The 27,211-nt window shown below is 34.1% G+C and overlaps 1 protein-coding gene across 54 annotated transcripts in view; it reads right to left on the reverse strand.

The window, feature by feature from the left end:
• CAMK2D (calcium/calmodulin dependent protein kinase II delta) overlaps nucleotides 1-27,211 on the reverse strand; it is a 310,707-nt gene that overhangs the window by 279,867 nt on the left and 3,629 nt on the right. Inside the window, exon 3 of one of the 54 annotated variants that reach the window (NM_001321592.2) lies at nucleotides 23,575-24,192. The exons of the other annotated variants lie outside the window; for them this stretch is intronic. Within the exon in view, the coding sequence (NP_001308521.1) occupies nucleotides 24,143-24,192 (50 nt within the window). The 3' untranslated portion in view covers nucleotides 23,575-24,142. Of the gene's footprint in view, nucleotides 1-23,574; nucleotides 24,193-27,211 lie in introns of those variants that run through there. 54 annotated transcript variants of the gene reach the window in all.

Here is a 27,211-nt window from a genome sequence, read left to right on the forward strand (position 1 = left end):
CCAACTTATACAACGGCTATAGGACTTACCACTGAACTAGTAGAGTCTTGTAACCAGAAACACAAAGTCACTTATTTAGCAGTTACTGTGGCATCACATATTTCAAATGACTGACTTAAAAACTGAAACTCATATAACCCTCAGATTTTATTTGTCATTCATTTCAATATTCACCAACTGAATATTTTCAAGAAGTGCTAGCGAAAAGCCAAACTGAGTGACTAGCATTTCCACCTCTCTCCCATAAATCTGCTTTCACTAAAGCAACACCAAAAAGCAAAGACATGCCACAAAGTAAAAACAAAGATAATGGACATAAAATAGAACTAAGGGTTAGGAGAACTAAGAAGGTCAATGACCGCAGGCCATTCATTTTATAACTCTGTGTATTAGCATTCCCGGGTCTAAAGAGGCACTCACCAAATCTTCCCTAATTATTTCTCAGGCCTTATAAAGAAATAAAATCACAATTGGAAATAATGTCAAAAAGTTTGAGTACTATTCAAATGATGCTCCTGCTATTACTGAGTTTCTAAAGAATCAAAAATTAATAGTGTAATAGATGAAACTATTTTCATAAGCACTATATAACATTATCTTCATTAAACAAGTTTTCCTATCATTTTATTTCTTGATGATGAAAAAACACTTCAAAGTATAAAAGATAATCTAAGCCAGGGTTATTGCTTTTTTTTTTTTTTTTTTGAGACAGAGTCTCACTCTGTCCTCCAGGCTGGAGTGCAATGGCGTGATCTTGGCTCACTGCAACCTCCGCCTCCCGGGTTCGAGTGATTCCCCTGCCTCAGCCTCCTGAGTAGGTGGGACTACAGGCGCGCGCCACTATGCCCGGTTAATTCTTTGTATGTTAGTAGAGATGGGGTTTCACCATGTTGGTCAGGCTGGTCTCAAACTCCTGACCTCATGATCCGCCTGCCTCGGCCTTCCAAAGTGCTGGGATTACAGGTGTGAGCCACCGCACCCAGCCTATTGCTCTTTTTATATGGCCCTCTCTCATAAACTTCATTCCCATTTGTTATGTCCACAGCCGTATAGAGAAGTAATATGATTACAGGGCCATAGGAACCAGATCTAGTTCTATGTTAAACACTTTCTGGGTGATGTGAGGTGGGTCATTTCACTCCTTTGGGCCGGGGTTTCTCATCTTTAAAGTTAGGCAACTAGAGTCCAGCAGGTGTCTAGACTCTTGGGACATCAGCACTCCTTCTTTTTTTTTTTTCTTTAAGAGACAAGGTCTTGCTCTGTTGCCCAGGCTGGAATTCAGTGGTGCGATCATAGCTCAATGTTGCCTCAAACTTCTGGGCTAAAGTGATCCTCCCACCTCAGCCTCCCAGGTAGCTGGAACTATAGGTATGTGCCAGTATGCCCAGCTAAGTTTTTATTTTTTGTATAGACAGGGTCTCCCTATGTTGTCCAGGCTGGTCTTGAACTCCTGGCCCCAAGTGATCCTCCTGCATGGGCCTCCCAAAATGCTGGAATTACAGGTGTGAGCCACCGTGCCCCACCCTGCACTCCTTTTTAATGTCGAAACACTTGCATTGCCACATGACAGCAGTGGTGTTTCTAATATTATTGGTTGAGCTGTTATGAATTCAGTAAAACTTTTAAACAAATTTGACTTTAATCAAAATGATATTAATTCACTATGGTATCAATTACATGATAATTCACATATTTTTACATATTTTAATCAGCGTGCATGAATTCAAGACCTCTAGGAGTAATTCAATGATAAGAGTCCTGCACTCACAATTTAGGCACTTTATAACTACAGCAGGTTTAAGTCATCAAAGAAATGTGACTTTTTACATATTATTTAAATAAAAGGAGCTAAACGTGAATTTTCTATAGCTCCTCTGACTCCCTGAAAAGTTCATGCCTATTCATTTAGAGTTAATAGCTATCTCATCTTCATCTATGCAGCGCATCCTATCAAAATATATATATATTAGGAATATAGATATATTAGTGCTTCTCTACTAGAAGCACTGTACAATATAAATGAAAAAGACTTAAGGTCAGTTATTTCATAATTTCCAAATGATTTCAAATAAACACAGGGTAAAAATTAATTTAAATAAGTAATGGATATAAAGTAAAAGAGTTTGCATAGGACAGCTTTAACAAAAAGTTGGCCCCTGGAGAAGTTTTGAAGAGAAAGGTGAGGTAGACTAGTGGAGAGCTTGAGGGGTGAGAGTTGTATGTGCAGAGACAGAGACTGAAATGATAAAGCAATGTGCTTAATGACTAATGGTGATATTCGGCAAACCAGAATCAGGAATGAAAGAACCATTTAATGCAGCTTCTGAAATGATTTCAAAAGAAATCTTTTGAATACTTTCCTATGTTCCTGTAATAACAGTTGCCTTCCATTTATTAAAGGAGCCTTGGTCCTCAGTGTCTTTTCTCCTGAGTAAGCATTTTTACTTTAGTTAGTTTTAAAATGCCTAGGCATGAACACCACAAATGAAAGATCAAAGAGTAACTAGATGCTGTCTAATTTAAAAAACTGTACTCAGCAAGTGCAAATCCTTTTTTAATTGCTAAACTGAACATCTGGGTTTTTTCTCTACTTCTTTTCAGCCTGTGAGTTAAGTGAGTTAAATATCCTCAAACAAAGGGAAAAGTCAAGTTATCAGGTATAAGTATGGCTCCAAATTAAATACCAATAACGTTGAAATTATCAGAAATTAATTTGCCTTTCTATTGATGCTTTGATATCATTGTAAAAGCAGAGCTATGAAAAAGATATAGTTACTTAACATGTTTTAATACAAAGACAAAATCCACTTTATTTTTTAAATACAGAAACATAGACTCTGCTCAAGCATGTAGCTTTTAAACTGTGAAATTACATAAATGGCAGTTTCTTCATGAGTAAACTGTCATACATGTAACTAATTATAATGAGCCTCTTTAAAAGGTGATTACTTGACATCTGACTTTTAAAATACATACACAAACTAATTTTGCTCATGACTCAACCATTGGTAAGCCAAAGGGTAGGCTAAATATGTACAAATGAGAACAGGTTTCCATTCTGCTTTTAAGCTAAACAAGAAAAATGTTGTTTTTAAGGAAAACATTATTTCCATGTTAAAATATGAGAAGGATTCTCACCTGAGTTCTGTAATAGAATAAAAGAACAGACATTTTGTTTAAAATTCTCTTGTTGAAAAAACTTTTTTTTAAATAATAGGGGTAGTTGATGTGTTTTAGCTTTGAACTGAGGGCATAAAATAAAATCTGTGCACATGGAATCCTAAGAAACACAGAAGATGAAGAGTAATTTAAAAGCTTTGTTCTGAATGTTGGTTACAAGAGATTAGTTCAGTTGTTTCAACTTACTTTTTTTCTCCTTAACTCTTTCTAAAATAAAACATTAAATGGGCATGAAAAATCTCGTGATGATTTTCATTTGATCTAGTTCAGAGTGTACAAATGGAAAGGAAGGTCATAAAAATACTTCTTGAATCACAATTTACAAATTTGCAAAATAATATTCTACTACATTCTAAGGTAGTAGAATTTTTACATTGTTCTCTTTTATTCCTATAGTAATTTTTTTATTTATCCACTTCAAAAATAATTTTTCCAAATAGAAGGCATATATACAAATTACTTAACAAGTATGTAAATCAAATAGTTCAAATTGTTCAGTGTTATCTATTGACAATAAGAGAGTGGGAGGTCCAAGCACTAATGCCCAAGCAGCTTCCTTATTCCAAGAACCAGCTGACAGCCTAGTTAGACTAGTTATTAAAATGACAACACTTTCATAATCAAGATACAACAAATTTGAAAGGCTGATGGGAAAACATTTTACTGTGTTCATATTTCTCTAAATGCAATATATGCCTTCATGTTAATACAAAGTAAAAACCAAAGGAAAAAGTATAATATGACCATTCCACTTAATCTTCTAAAGTGTCTCAAAAAGTTTTTTAAACCAGTTTTACTCCTAAGTTTAGGAAAATGGAAAAAAAAAAAAAAAGAAGCAGAAAAATCAACCCAAATGATCTAAAACATTTTACTATCTTACATGGCAAACTTCTAAATTTATAATCACCAAATGAGTAAAACAGATTCCGAAAACTACCCAAGACATTTTAAAAAAGTAAAACACACACAAACAAAACACAATAAAAACGTTTGCCTGTCCAAGAAACTACAATACCGATAGCATATAAGAGCCCAGTTAGAATAATACACAGGAAATATATATAAAATTCTGCCTTTTGCAAACTTGTACAGGCAAGGTGTGGTGGCTCACGCCTGTAATCCTAGCACTTTGGGAGGCCAAGGCGGGTGGATCACTTGAGCTCAAGAGTTTGAGACCAACCCGGCCAACATGGCAAAACCATCTCTACAGGAAAAAAAAAAAAAAAAAAAAAAAAAAAAAAAAAAAATTAGCTGGGCATGGTGGTGTGCGCCTGTGGTCACAGCTACTTGGGAGGCTGAGGTGGGAGGATCGCTTGAGCCCGCGAGGCAGAGGTTGTGGTGAGCTGAGATTGCACCGCTGTACTACAACCTGAGTGACAGAGTGAGACCGTCTCAAAAAACAAACAACAACAAAACACAATTTGTACAATACACAACTATGTATAACTTACAGAGATCAATAAAGTATATATGGTGCTTTATAATTTACAGTGTTTTCATAATAAATCATTTAATTCTTACAATAACTGAGAGATGCACAGGAGAAGGGTTATTATTCTAGCTGTAGTAATAAAATGATGTTCAAAAAATTAAAACATACTCTAGTAATTTAAAGCACAGCAATTTTGTAAGAAACAGTAAGGTGGCTCAGAAATTTTTACATTTAATGTGAACAATTTGGAAGAAAGGAAAAACAAAAAGACTAGATTAGCCAGATAAAAGACAAATGGCATTAAAGTATATTTATGTAAATATATTATCACTGTCATCTTTGCAAATGGCAACAAAAAATAAGAATTTCCATAACTTTCTACAAAAGAAAGTACCTAATACTGTGAACATCAGATAAAATAAAAATATCCTGTTGTTTATCCTCTTTGTTGGAGCATCAGAGAGACTTAAAAAGGTTCCACCATCTTTATATGACTATTCAGCAACGAAATATAGACGGGAAATCTTTACAAAGAAGTATGTAATCTACAACCCATACTGAATTTGAAATCTAAAACCTTCACTTTCAAATAGAAATAGCCACCTGACTCACTAGTAGAATTAAAAAAAAAAAAACAACACCCAGTAACATCACCACAATTATATAAAAGTGTATTTTATGTTACTGCCATCTTAAAATCAGATCTTCCAAGACATCCAACTTACTCCAATCCAATTTTTAGATGCTATTCTTCAATGCTGGTATATTTTGAATACAGTTTTACTCTATCTAGTGTTAGACACTGAGTGTACAAAGAAACATATTAAACCCTATAGCCTTCAACTAGTTAACCCCAGAAATCAAAACTGTGTATATCATACCTCAATATTTAAAATATACTAATGTAGAAAGGCAACTTACTACAAAAGTTAATCAGCTGGATTTTGTCAAAGTTTGTTTCTGTTTTGTTGTATTGCATTGTTTTAAATTGAGTGAAACAAAGGAAGAAGCGGATAATGCAATGGCACGTATTCCACATTAATATCTTTCTAAATTATTACTCATAAAAGTTCAATCAAGTTTGCAGATTCCCTGCAAGTCTAGGACATTGACAGCACTCCATATCACTGCAATGCAATGTACAGGGCATTTCATATTTGAAAACATAACAAACACTATGGCCTTTCATTCATATTAAAACTAATATGATAAAACTAGTTAAGTGAAAAATAATTATGAAAAACAGATGAAGGGCTAAAGAAAAAATGTATACTACAAAGCTAAAAGTTTAAAAAGGCAAAAATATCCCTCTGGTTCCTCGTGATTCATTAAATCACATTATCATACACTAAGAAGTCAAAACGTAAATGAGAGTTTAGAACTGGCAATGTCCAGTTCATCAGAATATCCAATATGCGCATTATGAAGAATTCCATCTTTCCCTTCAGGTAAATAAATACGCATCATGATGTATACTCCAACATCTCTATTTATGTCATAGAATATCAAAAGTAAGCAGTCTACAACATAATAATAGTATTTGGGGGTAAAATGATCTAGCACTTTCCTGTGTACAATAAAGAAATCAAAATTATAAACTTTATCACTGATATACTTTCTTTCTTTTCATTTCATCCAATTAGAATGTTCAATTTAATAATCATATATACCCTTGTAAAGACAAATCTAAAAAATCTTAACTGTTAACAAATGCCAAAAGATAGAAGCAACCTGCATGTCCATCAACAGACGAATGGATAAACTGTTGTATATACATAAAATGAACTATTATTCATTCTTAAAAAGAAATAAAATTCTGACACACACTACAATATGAAAAAACCTTGAAGATATGCAAAGTAAAACAAGTCAGACAGAAAAAGACAAGTAGTGTATGCTTCCACCTACATGAGGTACCCAGAGTAGTCAAATTCACAGAGACAGAGTGCAAGGGTAGTTGCCAGGGACTCGGGGGAGAGAACAGGGAGATACCACTTAATGAATATAGAGTTCTAGTGAAGGAAGACAAAAAACTTCTGGAGATAGATATTGGTGAAAGTTGTACGACGATGTGAATATACTTAATGCCACTAAATTGTACACTTAAAAACAGTTAAAATGGTGGATTTTATGTTACAAATATTTTTCCATAATATAAAAAATCTTTATTAACTGCATCTATCCTTCACTGTCCTTTATATTTTTGTTAAGGCATAATAGCATTTTTATAATGCTTTAGTAATCATTTCATATCATCTGGTTGTGAATCTTTATCTTTAAATATAGCATTTATTTATCATAATAAAATTGGAACTAGATCCAAAACAAAACATCAAGCTCTCTAGTAAATGAGAATATGCATTGGGAAAGAGTGAAGAGCTCTCATCTGGGTCAATGAATTTAGGCAAGGTCTAGAATCACTCATTTTTAATTTTTAATTTGTTCTCTCCATCTGGAAAGCCATAGTCACATGGTAAACATGCGCCTAAGACAATGTGCCTTTCAGGTTCCCTCATTATTTCTCACAACCTCAAAATAGGCTTTTTCAAATCACAATAAGTTAACCAAATTGCGTATGGTCATCTTGCTAATGTTAGAAATCAAAGTTTCCAATTCTCTATAAAAGAAGTGATAAATCACAGCTTTTATACAGCACAACCCCATAAGAATGAGTGAAGAATCTAAATATGTTCTTTGAAAAAAAAAAAAAAACTACTGTGAGAAAAAACTAAGTTAGATGAAATAATAAACTCCTATCTATAAAATCACTATACTTAGTTCTCTGATGGTTCTGCCTAAAGAAGACCTAAATATTATACAAGATGGTCTGTAAATGTTCCCTTCCAATCCATCCTCCACAAATAATGGTTTCATGCAGCTGTTTAAATATACCCATATGAAAACCCACAAGGGAGAAAGAATGTGTGGGAAAGTTAAGCAGTCTCATGTTTCCAGTAGACTTACCAACCTGATTTTTTTTAAATGAAAATAGGATATTGCACAATGAGTGAATGCAAAAAAATATTTTTAATGTGTTATTATCCTCTTTAGTGGACTCTGGCAAAACATAATTCTGGCAAAACATAACTTTTTATGGTTCCTGTATCTCCTTCTTAAGAATCCTGTCTATATATGTATATATCTCCATATACTAAATATATCACTAAAAATATAATGAAATAATATTAGTATATATTCACCATTCAAATATCAAGGGAAATTTTCCCAATATGAACTTTCCCATGTCACTGAAAATTTTGGGGGAAGAGTCAACTGAAAGGCTTTAAAAGGCTATTAATCCAGCCTAGTTTTAAAAATTAATCGAAGCATTTTATGAATGATGTAATATGGGGAACAATATTTACTAACTCACTTGGAAATATACATCAAATTTTAAATATATACAAAAATAAATAACACATCCCAAAAATGGGTTTTTGATTTGTAAAAATAAATATTAACTGTGAATTCAAAGATTCCTTCAAAAAATGCAACTTTCTTTGTTCTTTTCCATTCCTTACTGTTCATAGCACTTAGAACCACAGTGTAAATGGAAATACTTCATAGATGTGTTAATCTTGTTTTGTCAGGCAGATCAAGAAAATACAATGCTGCAAAAGAACTGAAATTCAACATTCAAAATTTCACTGGAAAGAAAGGCAGGGTGTTGCATTATTAGGCTTTCAATGAATCCTAAATGTACTCTTCAATTTAAAAGATTAAAATGGAAACTTCTCACTGACCATCAAACTAACCCCAGGTTTTAGTGAAAGAGAATTTCAATCTACTTCTCCTCAGTCCTCTGCCCACTATCAATCCCCAGCACAGCTTCCTACCCCAAAAGCAAAAGCCTAGCAAATTTTATGCCAGTGTCATAGGCTGTGGGTATCTGCCACAGCCCAGCAAGTAATATGCAAAAACAGGCACTTGCCAACAAAAAAGGAACAGGAAGGGGTGGATCCAATATAAGACTTATAAAACTTTCCACTCAATTAAAAGAAAAATAGCCATCTACATCAATAGTCTAAAAAAAGTCTATGATACAAATAAAGCTCCCAAGCCAAATTCTTTCTAGTAATAATTGACATGAGTAAAGAGATCATTCAATAATAGGTTGATGTTTCTTTGACATGAAATAGATGTTTCTTTCAACTCCAGGCATAGCTAATTTAAAATCATGGTTAAATAAAAACTTTCCTACATGATATAATACTTCTCATTTACAAAGTGAAAATGGTCATAATTTACTTTCTTATTCTGAAACTCAACTTCCATGTCCTGTTTTTTTCAACTTTTATTTTAGATTCAGGGGGTACATGTTCAAGTTTGTTACAAAGATATACTGTGTGATGCTGAGGTTTGGGGTATAATTGAACCCATCACCCAGGTACTAAGCATAGTACCCAATAAGCAGTTTTTTAGCCCTTGACCCCTTCCATCCTCTTCACTCCATTTCTTTTTCACACTTCAAAATATCTAAACTATTCCAAGTGTCTTGGCTATTAATTATATGCACATGTGTTATAATGCAAATTAATCTGTTTAGTAATAATTGAATCCTATACTATAGAGTACTATCTCATAAAATGTTTCCTTTGTATTTCTTGAATGTGTGTATGTACAGCATTTCCTCCATTCCTAGGTATATACCCAAGAAAAATAAAAACTTACGTCTACACAAAAAACTTGGATATAAATGTTCATAGCAGCATTACTCAGAATGGACAAAAGGTAGAAACAATCCAAAAGTCCTTCAGCTGATGAACTGATAAACAAAATGTGGTATACCCATATAATGAAATATTATTTAACAATAAAACATGCTATACTATGGATGCACCTTGAAAGTATTATGCTAAATGAAAGAAGCCAATCAGAAAAAAAAATTGTATGATTCCACTGACATGAAATGTTCAGAATAAAACCTATAGAGACAGAAAATAGATGAGTGGTTGCCTGGGTTTGAGGGAGAGGAGGAGAGGTAAGAATGATGAATCATTGCTAATAGGTAAGGTGTAATAAATCTCACATTTAAGTCAAGACCTGGACTCTTGATTTCCCATTCCAATCTTAGTATACTCTACTTTTCCCCTTCTCAGTTACAGTGCCACCATTAGATAGTTGGTTTGACTAGTAGTCATCTACTATGAGATGACTACTAGATCTAATGTAGATCAATAGTCATGCTTCCTCACTTTCCCTCACACCTCACAACCTTTCCATCAGCAAGTCCTAAATTTCCTCCTCCAAAATCCATCCTTCTCACTATTTCTAATGTCACCTTCACATCTCCCCTAGACTGCAAGAGTCTCCTAACTATAGTAGTCTCCTCTTAATTCAGTTTTGCTTTCTGAGGTTTCAGCTACCTGCAGTCAACCACCATCCAAAACTGTTAAGTGGAAAAATTCTGAAATAAACAATTAATAAATTTTAAATTGGGTGCCATTCTGAGAAGCATGATAAAATCTTGTAACACCTAACTCTGTCCAGCCCAGGATGTGAATCATCCCTTTGTCCAGTGGATCCACATTGTTTATGCTACCTGCCTGTCAGCCATCTTAGTTATCACAGACTGCTGCAGTACCACAGTGCTGTATTCAAGCAACCATTATTTTACTTAGTAATGGCCCCAAAGTGCAAGAGTAGTGATACTGGCAATTGGAATATGCCAAGGAGAAGCCGTTCAGCAAAGGAAACTGTGCTTCCTTTAAGTGCAAAGGTGAAAGTTCTCCCCTTAATAAGGAAATAAAAAATGTATATGCTAAGATCTATGGTAAGAATAAATCTTCTATCCATGAAATTGTGAAGAAGGAGAAAGAAATTCATGCAGTTTTGCTGTCGCACTTCAAACTGCAAAAGTTACATGCACAGAATAACTTTTATTATAGTATATTATTATAATTGTTCTATTTTATTAGTACTTGCTCATCTCTTACTGTGACTAATTTATAAATTAAACTTTATCATATTTATGTATGTATAGGAAAAATACAGTATATATAGTTTTGTGCAATCTGTAGTTTCAGACACCAACTGGGGGTCTTGGAACGTATCCCCCAGAGACAAGGGGAGACTACTATAGTCTTGCTTTCACTCACACTTCCTTACAATGTATTCTCCACATGGCAGCCAGAGAGATATTTTTTAAAACAAAATCCTATCACATTACTTCCCTGCTTCACATCCTTAAACGGCTTATCAATGCATTTAAAATAAGATCCAAATTCCTTAACTTGGCTAAAAGACTCTACACAATCCATCCCCTGCCTACCTCCCAACATCATCATGTACTTCTCTCCTTGCTAATTACACTCCAGCCACATTGACTTTCTTTCTACTCCTGTGCAAGCTCACTGTCACCTTGGTCCTTTGGCCTGGAATGTTCTTTCTTCGTATTTTCTCACGGTTTGCTTCTTTTCATCGTTAATGCCTCAGCTCAAATGCTTCTTCCTCAGCTCTATCTAAAGTAACTCCAATGAGGTCATTATCTAATTTATAGCCCTGCTATATTTTCTTCATAGCACTGCATGGTACTTATCTATCCAAATGCCTTTTCCCATGTCTCTCATCTTAACTCTCTTCACCAACCTACCCCCTGAATCAAGAACTGTGCCTACACACAGCAGTTGCTCAATAAATATTTGTTAAATAGATGAGTAAATGAATGAACAAATAATGATGACTGATATAATGAGGGCAATATAAGACATGAGAGACCTTGGGAACCAGAGAAACAAAGTCCAAGAGTTACAAAAGTTTCAGCATAAAAAATATCAAACTTTTCCTTATTAGATAAAAGCTAATAACTGGGGAAGGTACAAAGAAGATGTCTTCCAGAACTTTGAAGTCTGAACTCAAGAAACTGTTTTCTTTGTGAAAAATAGGGTGGTAGAGAAGGGAAAAATCATGAATAATTAGATTTTAAACATCAATAATAATAGCAATGGGAGAAGAAATGGGCAAAAGAATAATAAAGTGGAAAAAACATGGTATGTAAAAAGAAAAAACAACATCAAACACATTCTAATCACACCTACCTCAATAACAATTCTTGAGTTCATTTTTTTTTTTTCCTCAAGGAGCAAAGTAAACCTTTGTAGTAAACTTAGAAAAGCAAATTTTAAAAAGAGACAGACTTTTTAAAAAAGGTATTAGGAATACCAATGCTTTTGGGAAAACTTACCAAACCAAAAGCCCCAATCGTCACAGTCACTAAACCAGAGACATATAGATAGGAATGTAAGCAAGGCACAAGAAATAGAATATTCATGATGATGAGCCATATTCAACTTTGGTAATATGACATCCAGGATGAACCAATTTATGTTTTCATAGCATGTACTACCTATTTCTGATCTATGATAATTTTTATCTATAAATAGTACTTTCCTACTGATAAAAACTATGTACAACCCTGAGCCATCAAAAGCTGCCTGTAGAGTCCTTAGTTTATGCAGAAAAATGGAATGAAATTGAATCGTAATAAGGGAAACTTAGATTGTAAATTACAGATTTCCCAGGTTTCACTTTCAAGTAGAAAAAGAAATATGTTACTGAACATTCCAAAATGACATCATTCTGGCCGTTATTCCTAGAGAATAAAATTTTCTTTTCAATTTTTTGTTTTCTAACTGCCTCCCTCACCTCATCTCTCTGCTAGATGCAACTTGGAAGGAACATAACAGAATGACAATATCAAGGATTTTGCTATTAGCTAGTTTGGGTTTAAATTCTAGTTGCTCTATTATTACTAGCCATGTGAATTAAGAAAAATTAATGTAAACAAAAGATACCTCTTCTCCTTAAATCTTTTAAAAATGCCAGATTCTCTGCAGTCTCACTTTGCTGAGCCACAGGTTCTGGGAGCCATTTTTGGACACTTTGGTGCTAGATTCAAGGCCTGTACCTGCTAATGATTCAGGTTGTTACTACTACTGCACAATGCTTTTGGTTGTCTCCTTTCTACAGTCTCCAAAGACCATCCAACTTCTCAACCCCACTTCTATTTCTCTTCTTCTCAGCAGAACTATAACTGCCCTCTTCTCCACCTCAAAACCTTTCGGTATGTGCTGTTTTCTCACTCTTGGTGCCCGCTGAGGAAAAAGAATTCATTTTCCCCAAGCTTATCTCTTATTCTCACTCATGCCCACAACCTCCTCATCTGTGCCCAATAAATACTACCCTCTTTCTTTGCATTATCAGTCCTTCTCTTCCTTAGTCTTTTTCCTCTTCTTTCAAATAAGCTTTGGTTTTATTTATCCCCAAAGTTAATTCCCTTGACCTGAGGAATCCCTGAAATTACTCCCAATTCTCTTTTTCTCTTTTATCTTCCCTACTTTTTTTTTTTGAGATAAGAGTCTCACTGTGTCGCCCAGGCTGGAGTGCAGTGGTGCAATCCTGGCTTACTGCAAGCTCTGCCTTCCAGGTTCATGCCATTCTCCTGCCTTAGGCTCCTGAGTAGCTGGGACTACAGGGGCCCGCCACCACACCCGGCTAAATTTTTGTATTTTTAGTAGAGAAGGGGTTTTCACAGTGTTAGCCAGATGGTCTGGATCTCCTGACCTCGCGATCCGCCCACCTAGGCCTCCCAAAGTGCTGGGATTACAGGCGTGAGCCACCACACCCAGCCCCCTATTTTGTTAAACAAGCAAGCTTTTTCATGTTATCGCCATTTGTTCCTTAATCCCAAGAAAGTCATTAATTCTTTATCCTTCAGCAAACATTAAATACCTATTTTATTTTATGCAATGTGCTAGGTTCTGAGCATACGAAAACAAGTAACAGTCTAATGACCCAATCCTCGTGACCTTGTCCTAAACACTATTGAAATTCTGCCATATGGGAAATCAAGGCCTTTTCTTGGTCTTCATTTCTCTCTACTTCTCTACAATTCTGAACATTACTAGCCACCCCTCCTTTGCAAAAATTCCCTCCCTCAGAATTCAAATCACTGCATTATCCTAATTTCCTTCATACCTTTCTGCCATATCCTTCCATTTATCCTAAACTAGCCCTCTTTTCATCCATTAAAATGCAGTATTTCCCTACACCACTATCCTAGGCCCTCTTTTCTTTCCTTTCTATACTCTCCATTGTTATCTTATCCACTAGCATAGCTTCTACTATCTTCTCCGTGCAAATGAATCACAAAATTGATTATCATAGCCGCAAAATTGATTATCACAGTTTTATAGATAAGAAAACCAAGGCTTGAGAAGGTCACAAGAACTTGGAAGTGGCAGAGCCACTTCTTGAATCTTGGCAATCTGATTTCACAGCCAATGCTGGTAACCTACACAGTACATTGCATGTTCTCCAGAGGCACTTTTCAAGGACCACACCCAATTTTCAAAGGTCTTTTTGATAAGTCAGTGTGAATATATTGTGTATACCTCAAATACATATCAATTAATCATCTTCCCTCATCAAAATCAGTTCTTGATTCTCACTTCTCAACTAGTTACACGAAAACTAATTCTCCCCATGACTCAGCTTTGAAACTTCAGCCCTCCTGCCACATCTGTTATTATCTTAAGGTTTCAGAATCTCAGTGTCTCTCATAATCCAGGCCAATCCATCGTATTCATTCACTGCTACCAAGTAACATCATAGAGGCTCTCTTTAATGTGTCTCTGGTATACTTAAGAGCAAATTTGCAATTTGGTAAACTACCTTTACGTGTTTTTAACCTTTTCTTTCCTGATTTCCCAGATTGTCTATCCTTTGCCCAAATAAACATTTTTGGTTCTTCCCTAAACATTGATACTTTCCTGCATTCCTGTGTCTTTGTCCTTCTTTCTTCCTTCTATGCACTGCCACTTCTGCTTCCTCAATGTTACCTTTCTTGCTTCTGCCATTAAATGTCATCACTAGGCTACACTGAATTCTCATAATACTTTCTTCTGATACTGAAGATACATATATATCTTCCCCATAATTATCTATGTATGTCTCCTATTCATCAAACCAGTTTGTAAGTTTTTTGTGGGAACTGGTCATATGTTATTATCTTCATGTCCCCCACAGCTTACTTTCGACAGGCATAATACAAATAGTTTTTCTCTTCTAATATCTTTTAGATAAAATGTTAACCTCGCTTTCTTTCCTCATTAATAGTAGATATAGGCTGTCACATTCCTCAATATTAATGTTAAGCTCCCAAAGGTATTTGCAGAAAATAAGTGATGTAGCGTTTATTTTCTTGGAGATAAAGCAGGATATAAAATGTTTTAAAGATAGAACATTTTTATAGGAATAGGATTTCTGACCCAGAAAGCTGGCCAAATTCCAATCCAGGTAATTCACTCCTGTTCCCCTAATCCTTCTGGGATTTCAGCTGGATAACGCTGTCTCCTCCATTCTCTGGCCCAGGAAGGAATATGATGTACCCTACAAAACAGCTGCAACATGCCACACGGGGATGGCAGGCCTTACAGCACTGGGCACAGGAGTCTCTAAATGTTCCTTACCCACACTCCAGAAGTACTACAGAACTCAATTAGGAAATGTCTGAAGGTCTTTGAATGAAAGATGCTAAATAAGCATTAGTGTTAGTTACAATAATTTTCCAAAGACTCATTTCTCATGCCCTTTGCCTCTTTTATCCCCTAAGCTTGTTATAGAAGGGCTGAATAAATTATTTGCATTCAGGGTGAAGGAGAAATTATCTGCTCAAAGCTAAGTGCTGTTTTTAAAATTGACCTTGTGTGTGTTCACTGTATATTTCTAATATGGTATTTCTAAGTTTAGATTTATTTGGTTTGGATTATTTCAAAACATATACCTTAAAACCTTCTATCTGTTTTAAAGTTTGTAGAAGGTCAACAAATATTAACTCAATTTCTATAAATCATTATTATTTTAAAAGTTATCTCAATGATCCTTTAGCCACCCCTGTTCATGCCTCAGAGCCTCTTTATTATTTTATCTTATTGGGAGATTATGGACATTATGATTATCAGCACTAAATGGAGGATACAGTGTTGCAGGTAACCCAATAATTGGTTCTCTGTCAATATAAGACAGTATATATTTTTTTCTTTCAAAAGGACTTTTTAAAAGTTAACAATTAAATCTTGTTTTCCCTTTTCCTGATCACACAGATGCATTGGGTGAAGGGGGCAAAGTCAACCCAAGGAAATTTTTCCCAAAAATAACTTCAAAAGTTACAGAAAAGTAGGTCTCAATCCTATCTATAGGAGGTAAATAGTCCTCGTTGACAGGTTTTATTTTTCTTCTCTAATTCTATTAGAATGAAAAATGGCCTGAAATCAGGAGATCTACATTTAAGGAACAGGAGTGACTCTGATACTAAAATTCTACTTGAGGTCTGGAATTAGGATTTTTCCCAACCTGCTTACTAATGATTATACCAACCCTGAGTCACTATTTTTGAAGTCAATAGGCTTTCTGCTCTACTCCCAAAGTTCCTACATCAACCAAAAAAAAAAAAAATCTACCATTAATAATATATATATATATATACATTGAGTAAAACAATGATCCTTTTTACCCCCTTTAAACTACAAGGCAAGCAGTCCTCAAAACTAATAAAAATAGCAAAATCTTACATATTAATTTTTTTTACTGTTGCTAAAATTCTTCTAACAGGGAAAAAATTGCATGGCTGGGCCTTGCTAGGGAGGCTAAATATTTAAATCGAAGTTGTCTTCTAAGTGAATGGAAGATTGTTTCATTATATAAATCATGGGCATAAAGAAGTGACTATTTCCCTACTACCAGCTTATGCCAAATTATAAACTATATCACAGAATTAATCTAACAGAATTTTGAACTTTTTTTTTTTTTTAAATTCAATAGGAAAAGCGTATGCAAATCTTACTGCTAAAAGTTCTAGGTCCTCAAATGTGTATTCATTAATCATAAGATGATATCATTTGGGAATCATTTTATTCCTTTATGTTTTCAATAAATACCTGTGGTGGGTGCCAAACACTACTCTTGACAATAGGCATTCAAGCAGTTAATAATGTCAGTACCATTTTTAGATATCTTAGTTTTGGATTTGAGCAGAAACTTATGAACTTTTTTAAACAGTCATTAATCCATATTGCAACTATAGGAACTACCTTTTAAAGTACTAGCCGATTTTTAAAAACAAATTCTAATTATCCTCCCGTCCTTTATTTTCTACTTAGTCACTCTTAATTTTTTGTATTGCCCCAAGGCTCACTAAAACAAAATATGAGGTAGGTAAGAGGTTAATTATTCCTCTCTTATCACCTGTTCATTTCAAGTAACTCAGTGTTGTAAAATTCTACAATCTGCCTTATTTAAGAACCTCCAACAGCTCTTGCCATACTTAATGATTCGTTGGAAGAAAAAACTCCCATTCTTTTCACCCGTTTTTGCATGTTTCATGAAACTCTATACCTGATAAGTCTATCACCAAGAGTTAGAAAGTGCTTTTCTCAAGTTCAGTCTTTATTGGTACGTTCCAATATTCTGGCTTCTCGTGAGTATTTTTTCAACATATACTTTGAACTTGTTTTTTTTCCTACCTATCTCTCAGTTCAAAAACTGATTCTTTTGGAAATCCAGTTCAAACATCAGCTCCTCTAGGAAGTTTTCCCTGACCTCTCATCAACCCAACAGTTATCTCCTACACCTCAGAACCCAGTAAACACTCCCATTGTTAGATTTATCAACCTGAATGGTAATTTTACTTGACTTTACATCTGTTCACCTTGAAAGGAGGGACTTTTGTCCTTTGTACCTTCATTTATCCAGCACCTAGCAGAAGGACCAGAACATGGTGAATAAGCATTTTTTGTTAAATTGAAGTTAAAATTTAGAATCACGCTCCTTAAAATTCAATTTCTCGCTCGCATACTTTGTCATTGGTGGAAACACACAAAATTTACAGGAAGTAATTAGGCAAGAATAATTTTGATGATATTTAATCCTCTAACCCATTAATTCTCCTCTATGAATATTTCCTAAGAAACTAATCAGAACTATAAAAAAAGTTATACAAAAGAATGTCTATAATAGTGCCAGTCATCATAGCAAAAAGCAAAAATTAAAAAAAATACTAGGAATACCAAAATAATTAATCAGTTTTCTAGTCACTTAGTGAAGTATAATTCACTTATTAAGAATTCAAAAGATTTGCAGTACATAGGGAAGTTTTATAATTTTAAGTAAAAAAGCAGGACATAAAATTGTAATATTTTAGTCCAGTATTCTGAAGAAAAAGAAAGTGACAAAATGTTAACAGTGCTTGTTTGGGGGAAATGAACTACAAATATGTCTTTCCCTCATTCTATTTTTCCATATTTCCCCAAATTCTGTAATTAGAATATATATATTTTATGATATGATTATTTTAAAATGTATTTATACAAAACTGTAATAAAGATTTATTTCAGAGGTATGTCTGAAGTTTGTAATTCTATACCTAACAAATATTAATGTTTAGTATTAAAGCATATAAAATTCACTTTATCAAAGTAATAAAATATTCATCATGGATACAATTTCTACAAAACTGCCAAAATGTACACCTGAACTAACTCCCCAAATCACTATTGCCACTATGATTAAAGGCTTTAAGTCATCATTTAAAAATATGATAGGAATACTTTTATGAAAAGAATATTTTCTCATATATAATAGCTATAAATAGAATGTAATATATAATATTAAATATATTAGAATAGGTATTAGAAATATGTCTCTAATTTAGTATATGTATTAGCACTGTAAAGCTATAGAATTTGGAACCCCGCCCCCCCCACCCAGTGTCTTGCAACATATCACACAAGAAATTTCCTTGAGGAGAGAACACAAGTAAGTGCTTTTCAACATGCATTCTGTTTAAAGAGCCTTCCAATACAGAAACAAGTACACTCTCCCTCACCAAATTTCTCAACTGACAGACACAGCAGTTGAAACAGCTGGCCTCTAACTGCCTTTACTAAAAAAAATCAAATATCCTCTAAGCTAATAACATCCATGATATGTATATCTAAAACTCTATAAAGTGTCACCATACTGCTTAAAAATAAGCTTTGTCAAAAAATAAATGAAAAAGTAATCAGATACCTCTGTAGAATGGATCAAAATTTTTTTAAACTCAAACATGTTAAAATAATTTAATCATGACATGAGTCTGGAATTATTAAAGTGGTGCTGATGGACACACAGACCATGAAAATGTTAGCCCTCATTAATGAGCCACTTTATAATACATGGTTTAAAAAAAGAGCAGCAATAAGAATTTGCAAGTAGTTGCTCAAAAAGAAAATACTGAATTATACAAAACTCTTTCCAATAAAGCAGAATTTGTCATGACAAAACTTATGAAATAATTTGTGAATTACAAATTAATTTATAGAGTTATTGTATGCTATTTGACATGAAGTCTTAGTCAATTTTCAATTTACTTTGCCAGTCATAAGTTTCTCTTTGAAGCATGTCTATTTCAAGATACAGAATCTTATTTGGTCATGCAATTATTTGTCCACTTATCCAACAAACATTTACAAGTATCTGCAATATTAATTACTGTGCCAGGCGCAGACTGAAAGATAAACTAAGAAATGTCACCAAATGCCTGAAGGCCACAACATGTATGACTGCAATACAAAGGGAGAAATCTGGCAAGCTCCATAAGATATGAAATATCTATTGAAAGGACAAAGAAGGAGACAACAATCTCTCTGGCTAGAGAAAGTAAGGAGAGGTGGGGGAAGAAGTTAGAGACCATGGAGGAGGCAGGACCTGCACTGGATCTTAAAGGAGAGAGTACTGCAACAGTACCAGGTGTACTCACTCCATCAGGAAGATGGAGCAGGAACTTTCTCCCTCCCTGTGAACAGATTGCTTACTCCCTTCTCTAGCAGGCTCACCTAATTTATTCAAAATACAACCTCACACATCAATCTTTTCAGGAAATCTGTGAGACCAACCTCCCCAAGCCTGTTTCTGCATGCTCTCAAAAGCCCTGTGCACGCGTCTATCACAGCCCTTTCACTAACTCTACTAAATGCCAGGCTGTCATCCACACTCATAGGCCAGGAAATACTTGAGGAAGGAATGTCTGTCTTTTACCTCTGGATCTCTAAAACTTATCAAGTTGCCCAGCAAAGCGAGTGCTAAAAGATCTAATGATGAGCTGAATAAACGAATAAAAAATGTGCAACTATTATCTACCAAACCCATTTAGGAGGCTATCTAAAAGAGTTGAAGCAGCCAGGCACAGTGAGTAGCTCACGCCTGTAATCCCAGGACTTTCAGAGCCTGAGATAGGGGGATTGCCTTACACCCAGAAGTTCAAGACCAACCAGCCTGAGGAACACAGAGAGACTCTGTCTTTAAAAAAAATAAAACAAACAACTACTTGGGCATGGTGCCACATGACTGTAGTTCCAGCTACTCAGGAGGCTGAGGCAGGAGGATCACTTGAGCCCAGGCATTGGAGGCTGCAGTAAGCTAGGTTCTCACAAATGCACTAGAGCCTGGGTAACAGAGAAACTGTGTCTCAAAACACAAAACAAAGAGTTGAAGCAAAAAGAAAAGAGAGTTCAAATTGGGATGGTGAAAAGGAAGAAATGAAAAAGGTGTTGAGATGGGATAAGAAAAAGAAAAAAATCAGGCATGCTTGAAAGCTTAGGAAAATTATTGTGCCATTCACAGAGGGGGAAAGTTGATGAGTCTACTGGGAATATGCTGAGTTTGGGGCTGTATTACTAACAAATAACCCTCAGCAGAAATTCAAATTATCCAGAACATTGCCTCAAAAAAATGCAAAAGTACTTATTTCCTCAACAAAACATCAAATTTTAATTTAAACACTAATAGCATAATGTGGCATATATCAACTATCCACAATTTCTTTATAAAACAGAAAATTTTGATAAATTTTCACTTACTATATTTACATTTAATAAGTTACTTTTATATAAGTTATTCATGCTTTATTTCAATGTGTATACATTATCATTAATAAAATTTTGGCCAGGTGCGGCGGCTAACACCTGTAATCCCAGCACTTTGGAAGGCCTAAGTGGGTGGATCACGAGGTCCGGTGTTCGAGACCAGCCTGACCAACATGGTGAAATCCTGCCTCTACTAAAAATGCAAAAATTAGCCAGGCGTGGTGGCACGCACCTGTAATCCCAGCTACTCAGGAGGCTGAGGCAGGAGAATCACTTGAACCTGGGAGGCCGAGGTTGCAGTGAGCCGAGATAGCACCACTGCACTCCAGCTTGGGCGACAGAGCGAGACTCTGTCTCAAAATAAATAAATAAATAATTTTAAAAAAAATTTTATCAGACATAGGAAGAAAATAATTTCCTGTTACTAAACAAATTCCAAATAAATTAAGCATTGCCTATATTTAAGAGGGTAAAATTATATACTAATATATGAGAAGTAATGTATTTTATTCCATGAGTTTACACATATACCACACAAAATAAAATAAAATACAATTTACCTAGAAAATGGCTACATATATTTATTCCATGAATGACTGGCCCACTGAGATCAGCCAGTTAATTAAAAAACCCCAGGGTATGAAGAAATAAAAAGAGGTTTCTCTCCTAAAAAAGTTAGGGATGGTGATTAGCTCTCGGGGAGATACAAAGGATAGGGATCAACAAAAAGCACACAGGTAGCTTCAAAAGTAGGGAGAATGTTCTAGTTATTGAGTGGAGGCTTATTGGGTGCTTATTGTTATAAAATTAAATATATATGATATAATTATATATATCAAATTTTATGCAATAAAACTTTTAACATTCCTATGTAATCAATGTAACTGAAGGAAAACAGGAAACCTATTGTAAAACAATTAACTGTATATAAATATTATATCACAATACTTTGTGTACCTTTATACTACTTGCTGCACCTAAGTTATTTTTTCAACAAATATAGAACTTGACAATTTTATATTTTTCTTTAAATTGCCACATTTTTGTAAGAATTTGCTACATACAACAATGTTGTTCAAAAGGAAACTACAAAACAACAAAAATTTGTCTTCCATTGTTCACTGGTTAAACAAGATGAACCAGAAGAGTAGAACAGCTTTCTGAGTAGGTTTCTCTGGGCTTCGGTTAAGGGCTGAGTTTTAGTTTGCAGTGACAACTGAATCATTTAGAAGAAGTAATCCTAGAAACTTACTGTATAGTGAGATATTTTTAATCAGTTAATGAATTAAGTTTACCAAAATACTGAACTCCTCTTTAACCATTTTCCTACCATTTTATAATAACATTTTTCACTATATTGTTGTCCTTCCAGAAGACAGCATGGAGGGACTGTCTGAAACTTCACTTTGATCTTGTTATAGTAGCATTTAAAAGACTATCTTCTCTCACAGGTTGGAACTCTAAATGTATTTTCCCAAAGAAATACTCAATCCCCCACACTGCAATGGGAAGATAAAATGTAAGGCATAGTGCTTTGTATGAAGGACTCTGAAGTTTGTAAGATCAGTTAAGCACACACAGGTAAATACAGACAGATTAAGATAAGTCCTCTCTAATAGCAATCAACAGGAGGTGACAGTGGAAAGAGTCAGAATTTACAGTCAGAGAAAACCAGATTGAAATCCTGACTCTTATCACTTACTAATTTTGAGGCCTTATACAAGAGCCTCAGTATTCTTTTTTAAAATGGACATAATATTGTTCTAGGAGGCTGCAGTGTGGATTAAATAAAATAAAACAAAGTATCTTGTAAATATATACTTATTGTCTCATAGAAGGGGCTCTTCAAATAATGGCTATTAATATTTATATTTTTCTAAATTATTATTAATGATGAAGATGGCATTATTGATTTTGGTAGTAATAAACATAGTTCTAAGGAGTTAAAATGAGACTGTAACACCAGAAAAGGGGCTCAGGTAACTAAAAAAATCAGTGATGTCATTGTGTCATTGTGTGTAATTACAATGATAGCTAAGAGATTTAAAAACAAAACCAAACAAACTTAACAAAAAAGCTGCCCTCTCTCCTCTTCAAACCTACCAATTTCCCTATGCTAGAGTAAGAGAAGTTATGGCAGATAAAAGGTCTATGATTTCTCCTTAAGTATTGCTAAATCTCTCAACTGGAATTAGAGGAATTTTGTCACTTAAGAAACAGCCTACGTCATTTAAAATAATTTTATTCTAAAAATAACTGTATACTGATAATTACAACAAATTTACCATATGAATAACATAACATTTTGTTATAATCAGATATTTAAACTACTTTGAGCAACTTCCCCAAATCATTTATTTAGACTTTTTTTTTCGGTTGGGTGGGGGCGGGGGTGGTACTTAAGCCCCATCTACATTATAGCTTTCAAAATTTCTTTAAATCAATACTATATGAAAGGCTTTCTTTATCTCCCTGGGCAGAAATAATCTTGTCCTCCTTTAAGAGCCCATAGTACTTTATTCATGCTTGAATTGTAATGCCATTCATGTCTTCTATTATGTTTATTTAGGTAGATAGCCTTTATTTTTCCTAACACTGTCCACTGAAATCATTTAATATTTATTAAATAAACACATAAAGACATGTGAATATGCTTAATGATCTATAAAGTGATTTGAAATATAAAGATATGTTTTACAGTTAAAATATTGCTAATACTCCATTTAATGCATTGCAGTGTAGTTTACTAGAAATACTATTGTAACTTAAAATCTTTAACACAGCCTCTATATAATCATTAATTGCCAATGATTTATTAAAACACTGCATACATTACACCCTAATAAATGGGGAAGACTGATGTTAAAAAATATACCAATCCAGCCCTAGAAATACTATGAGTCAACCTCAGTATAAGCCCAAGGAAGACTTTAAAAATAAATTAAAATTCTAGTTAACAAAAAAGTTAGATGCCCAAGAAAAGCCCAGTACATGTAAGATTTCTAGTAATTCGTGATTATTACCATTAAAAAGATCCATAAAAGGTGACATATTGCTAAATTTTAATTTTTATATTCAGTTTATTCAACATTTCAATGGAAATGAGAAGTATTAATCTAATTGTCTAAACAAAGTTCTCACACAATCAGGTAGAGGTTTACACTAGTTATTAATATCACAGTATGGCACCTGACAACCACTTTCTTTATTTTCTTCATTTAATGAAATACAGAAAAGAATTCTATTATTTCCTGGAAGTGTGGATATACTTTTTTTTTTTATTATTTGTGTCTCCTAACTAGTTCTGAAGAGCAGTAATGCTTTCATTCAATGAAAGAAGAAAATGAATGTTTAATATCAAGACCTATAGAAGAATGTAAATACAACTAAACGTAAGTAAAGGATACAAAATAATAAGGATGACACATGCCACTTCTGGGTCCATAACTGAAGAGTTGTGGAGATTCTATGTACAAATATAAAAATGATTTACTAATTTTTTTCTTAAAATGTTGTTCTTGCCAAGAAACCTTCAAATTTTAATTTGTCCAAATTGTTCCAATTTGCCAAATCAATAATGTATAATCAGAACTTAATCCATCTACATAGTCTCAGTTCTACTTCCAATTCAAGACAAGTAACCATGAAGTTGAGAAATTACAGTACTTTCTTGACTGCCTGGAAGCCAAAAATAAAAGAAAAGTAGCAAGAATTAGTTTTTAACATCCCTTTTACAACATCAAAAAAGGTTACTTAGGGATACACACACACACACACACACACACACACACACACAAAACATTTAGATTTTATAGATGAGGCCTAATTTTGCATACATGGTCAAGTAGTTTTATAAAGTCCTGATTCATGTACTACTAATATCACCAATTTAGGAATTAATAAAACTAGTAAAATCAAAGAATATCAAAATGACTTAACTGATTAAGCCTGAAGTTTTACAGAAATATAAAATGAAATCCCTTTTAACTTTAGCAATGGAGTAGAGGTAAAATACAGTTGTAATAACTTATTTTTTAACCCTATACTATAATGTATTATATTTTACAAAAACAGTGACTGTGACACATCAGAATCTATGTAATAGTCAAATGGTTTCTAACGATCAAGAAATACACTGGGAGATGAATGTCAAGAAGCCATTACTTCCACATAAAATATTTTACCACCACGAGGCTTTGAAATGCAAAATAAATCACAGGTACTATTTCTAAATTATCTGCCATCAGAACCATCAGTCCACTGGATTCTGAACTGCAGTCACAGCTCTTCTTGGACTTTATATAATTTGACAACAGTGTACAGTTCTAAACATGTATAAATAAACAGAATATCAAAGCAGCAGAAAAAAATTGGCTTTTGTTAAGTACTAATCTAACTGTGCTTGGGATTAAAATGGCGTAATTTCTAATTCTCATGAAAATATAAGGCAAAAATTCTATTATCACTATTCAACATTTACTAAGCATGCCCTCAATGCCCATCTAACAAAAACTTTTTAGAAGATAGAAATTACATATAAAATATAAGATGCTTGAGATGCTTCCATACTACTTATTTTCAAAATAAGCCAAATTATATATGAGTGTACCCATCTACATGCTCAGTATAATGAATGTTCTATGCACGCACATGCTAACACAAAAGGTAAGAAATTCTTCAATTGACTCAGAGTTCCCCAAATATGGTATGTATGACTAACAGCTGAGAGGAAATACAACTGAAACTGTCTGCTGGAAATCCATTAAAATCTAGGCACAGAAAAATGCCTGGTTGATAGTATAGTTGGATGTGCAAATTTATGCAGGAATGTAGCCAAATCTTTGGCAATTCCCTCATGGTCTTAGATTTATTAACAATAGCCCTTTCTTTTTCAGCTGTAATGTTACATTTAAAGAACATTAGTGGAGTTGGAGGACCTGCCTGGTCTTTAAAACAAATAGACTAAAGGCTTGGGTATACAGAGTCATGGAATTTCAAATACAAACAAAAATTTGCACAAAAAAAGTATGCTCCACAAAAGCTTCCATATGCAACTCTCAAAAATCAGTACCTTAGAAAAAACAAGCATACTATTTTGCAATTCTTTCTACATTTGCCTTTGAACGTATTCATTATTTTAAAAATTTTTCTGCAAAAATGATTTGTATCATCTTCTCTGAAATGAGTGTTATTAAAAGACTTCATAGGTTAAGACATATCCTCTTAATATACTACTTCACGGATTTATTTTCAGTATTTGCTTGTTGTTAGGAGTAAATTAAGTACTTAACTCTTACAAGTCATTTAACAACCACATTTGATTCTTGTTACTCTGTACTGAGCCCCTTCTATGCTCTCAATTCTGTGGAATGTTGTATCAAAAAATGAAAGCATGGTATTTTCTTCTTCAAGAGTTTATAATTCAATATGAGTACAAGTTAAACAAACGTATTCATTCAAAGGCACAAATATTCTACAACCAGTTCTGATTAGTGTGACAATATAAAATAAAATTGTTGACCATTTTGAAGGAAAAGTTCTGTAATTTTTCAGGAGAACAATAATAAGAGGTAAAATTGACACAATACTTTGCAGTTTAAGAAATGATTCTCATTGAATTCCCTGAATCCTCAGAACACCCCATGAGACTCCATGAGTATGATTTCCCATTTTACTGATGAAGAACCTGATATCCAGAAAAGGAAAGAGACTAAACGAAATTTATGCCTAAGTAGTAGAGCAAAGATTCAAACGTAGTTCTCACAGCTAAATCAAGGCTGCCACTGGATTTATAAGTTCTTTCATAAAAGTAATCTAATTTGATCATTATGACAATTTTATTAGATAATAATAGCAGATAATATTCATTGACTGCATATAGTGGGGCAGGTGCTGTTCTATGCTATGTTAATTCATTCATTCCACACAAAACCCTATGAGGAAGGGTTCTGTTATTACTGCTATTTTACAGATGAAGAAACTGAGGCTCAGAGAAACTAGTTAATGTGCTCAAGATCACACAGCCAGTAGGTATGGGCAGCAGAAGTTAAACTCAAGAGCTTCTGGTTGCAGCGTTAATAATGTTCTTCACCACCAGCTCACTCTTAGGTACGTTAACCTACAACAGGTTAAGAAACTTGCCCAAAGTCACAAGGAAAAAAAATTGCAGAAAACGGGCAAGAAGAATGTCTCCTAACTCTTCACCCTAGTTCCTTTTTCTAAGTAGAATAATGAAAATCATTACATCCAGAAGCGGTAAAAAGCTTTGGGACATGTAGGTAGTTCTTTGAAGCAGAATATGAGCAAGTAAGGAAACACTGGTGGAGTAGCAAGGAGAAAAGATTCCATCAGGCCAAAGAAGGCTTCTTCTCCACAGATTGAAGGGAAAAGAGAGTAAAATGTATGTGACCAGGGATAAGTACATTTGTTATTCTGATTTAGGGAGGACAAATTCAGATGAGTGAAGAGGGATGGCTCTAATTAAGAAAGTTAGTAAAAGTGAAGCACTACACTGATTTGTTTTGAAAGAAACACCACCAAAAATCTTGGAATAGGTATTGTAATGCTTTCAAAAGAAATGATACCCCCACCACAGCCAAAAGTATCTAGCACACAGAAGAAAATAAGAGAAGCACTGAAAGATTCTAACTACACATTTTCATTTTTTTAAATTAAAATGTCACTTATAGTTTAGCAA

Source organism: Homo sapiens, chromosome 4 (genome assembly GCF_000001405.40).
Source record: "Homo sapiens chromosome 4, GRCh38.p14 Primary Assembly".
In the NCBI taxonomy this organism is placed as follows: domain Eukaryota; kingdom Metazoa; phylum Chordata; class Mammalia; order Primates; family Hominidae; genus Homo; species Homo sapiens.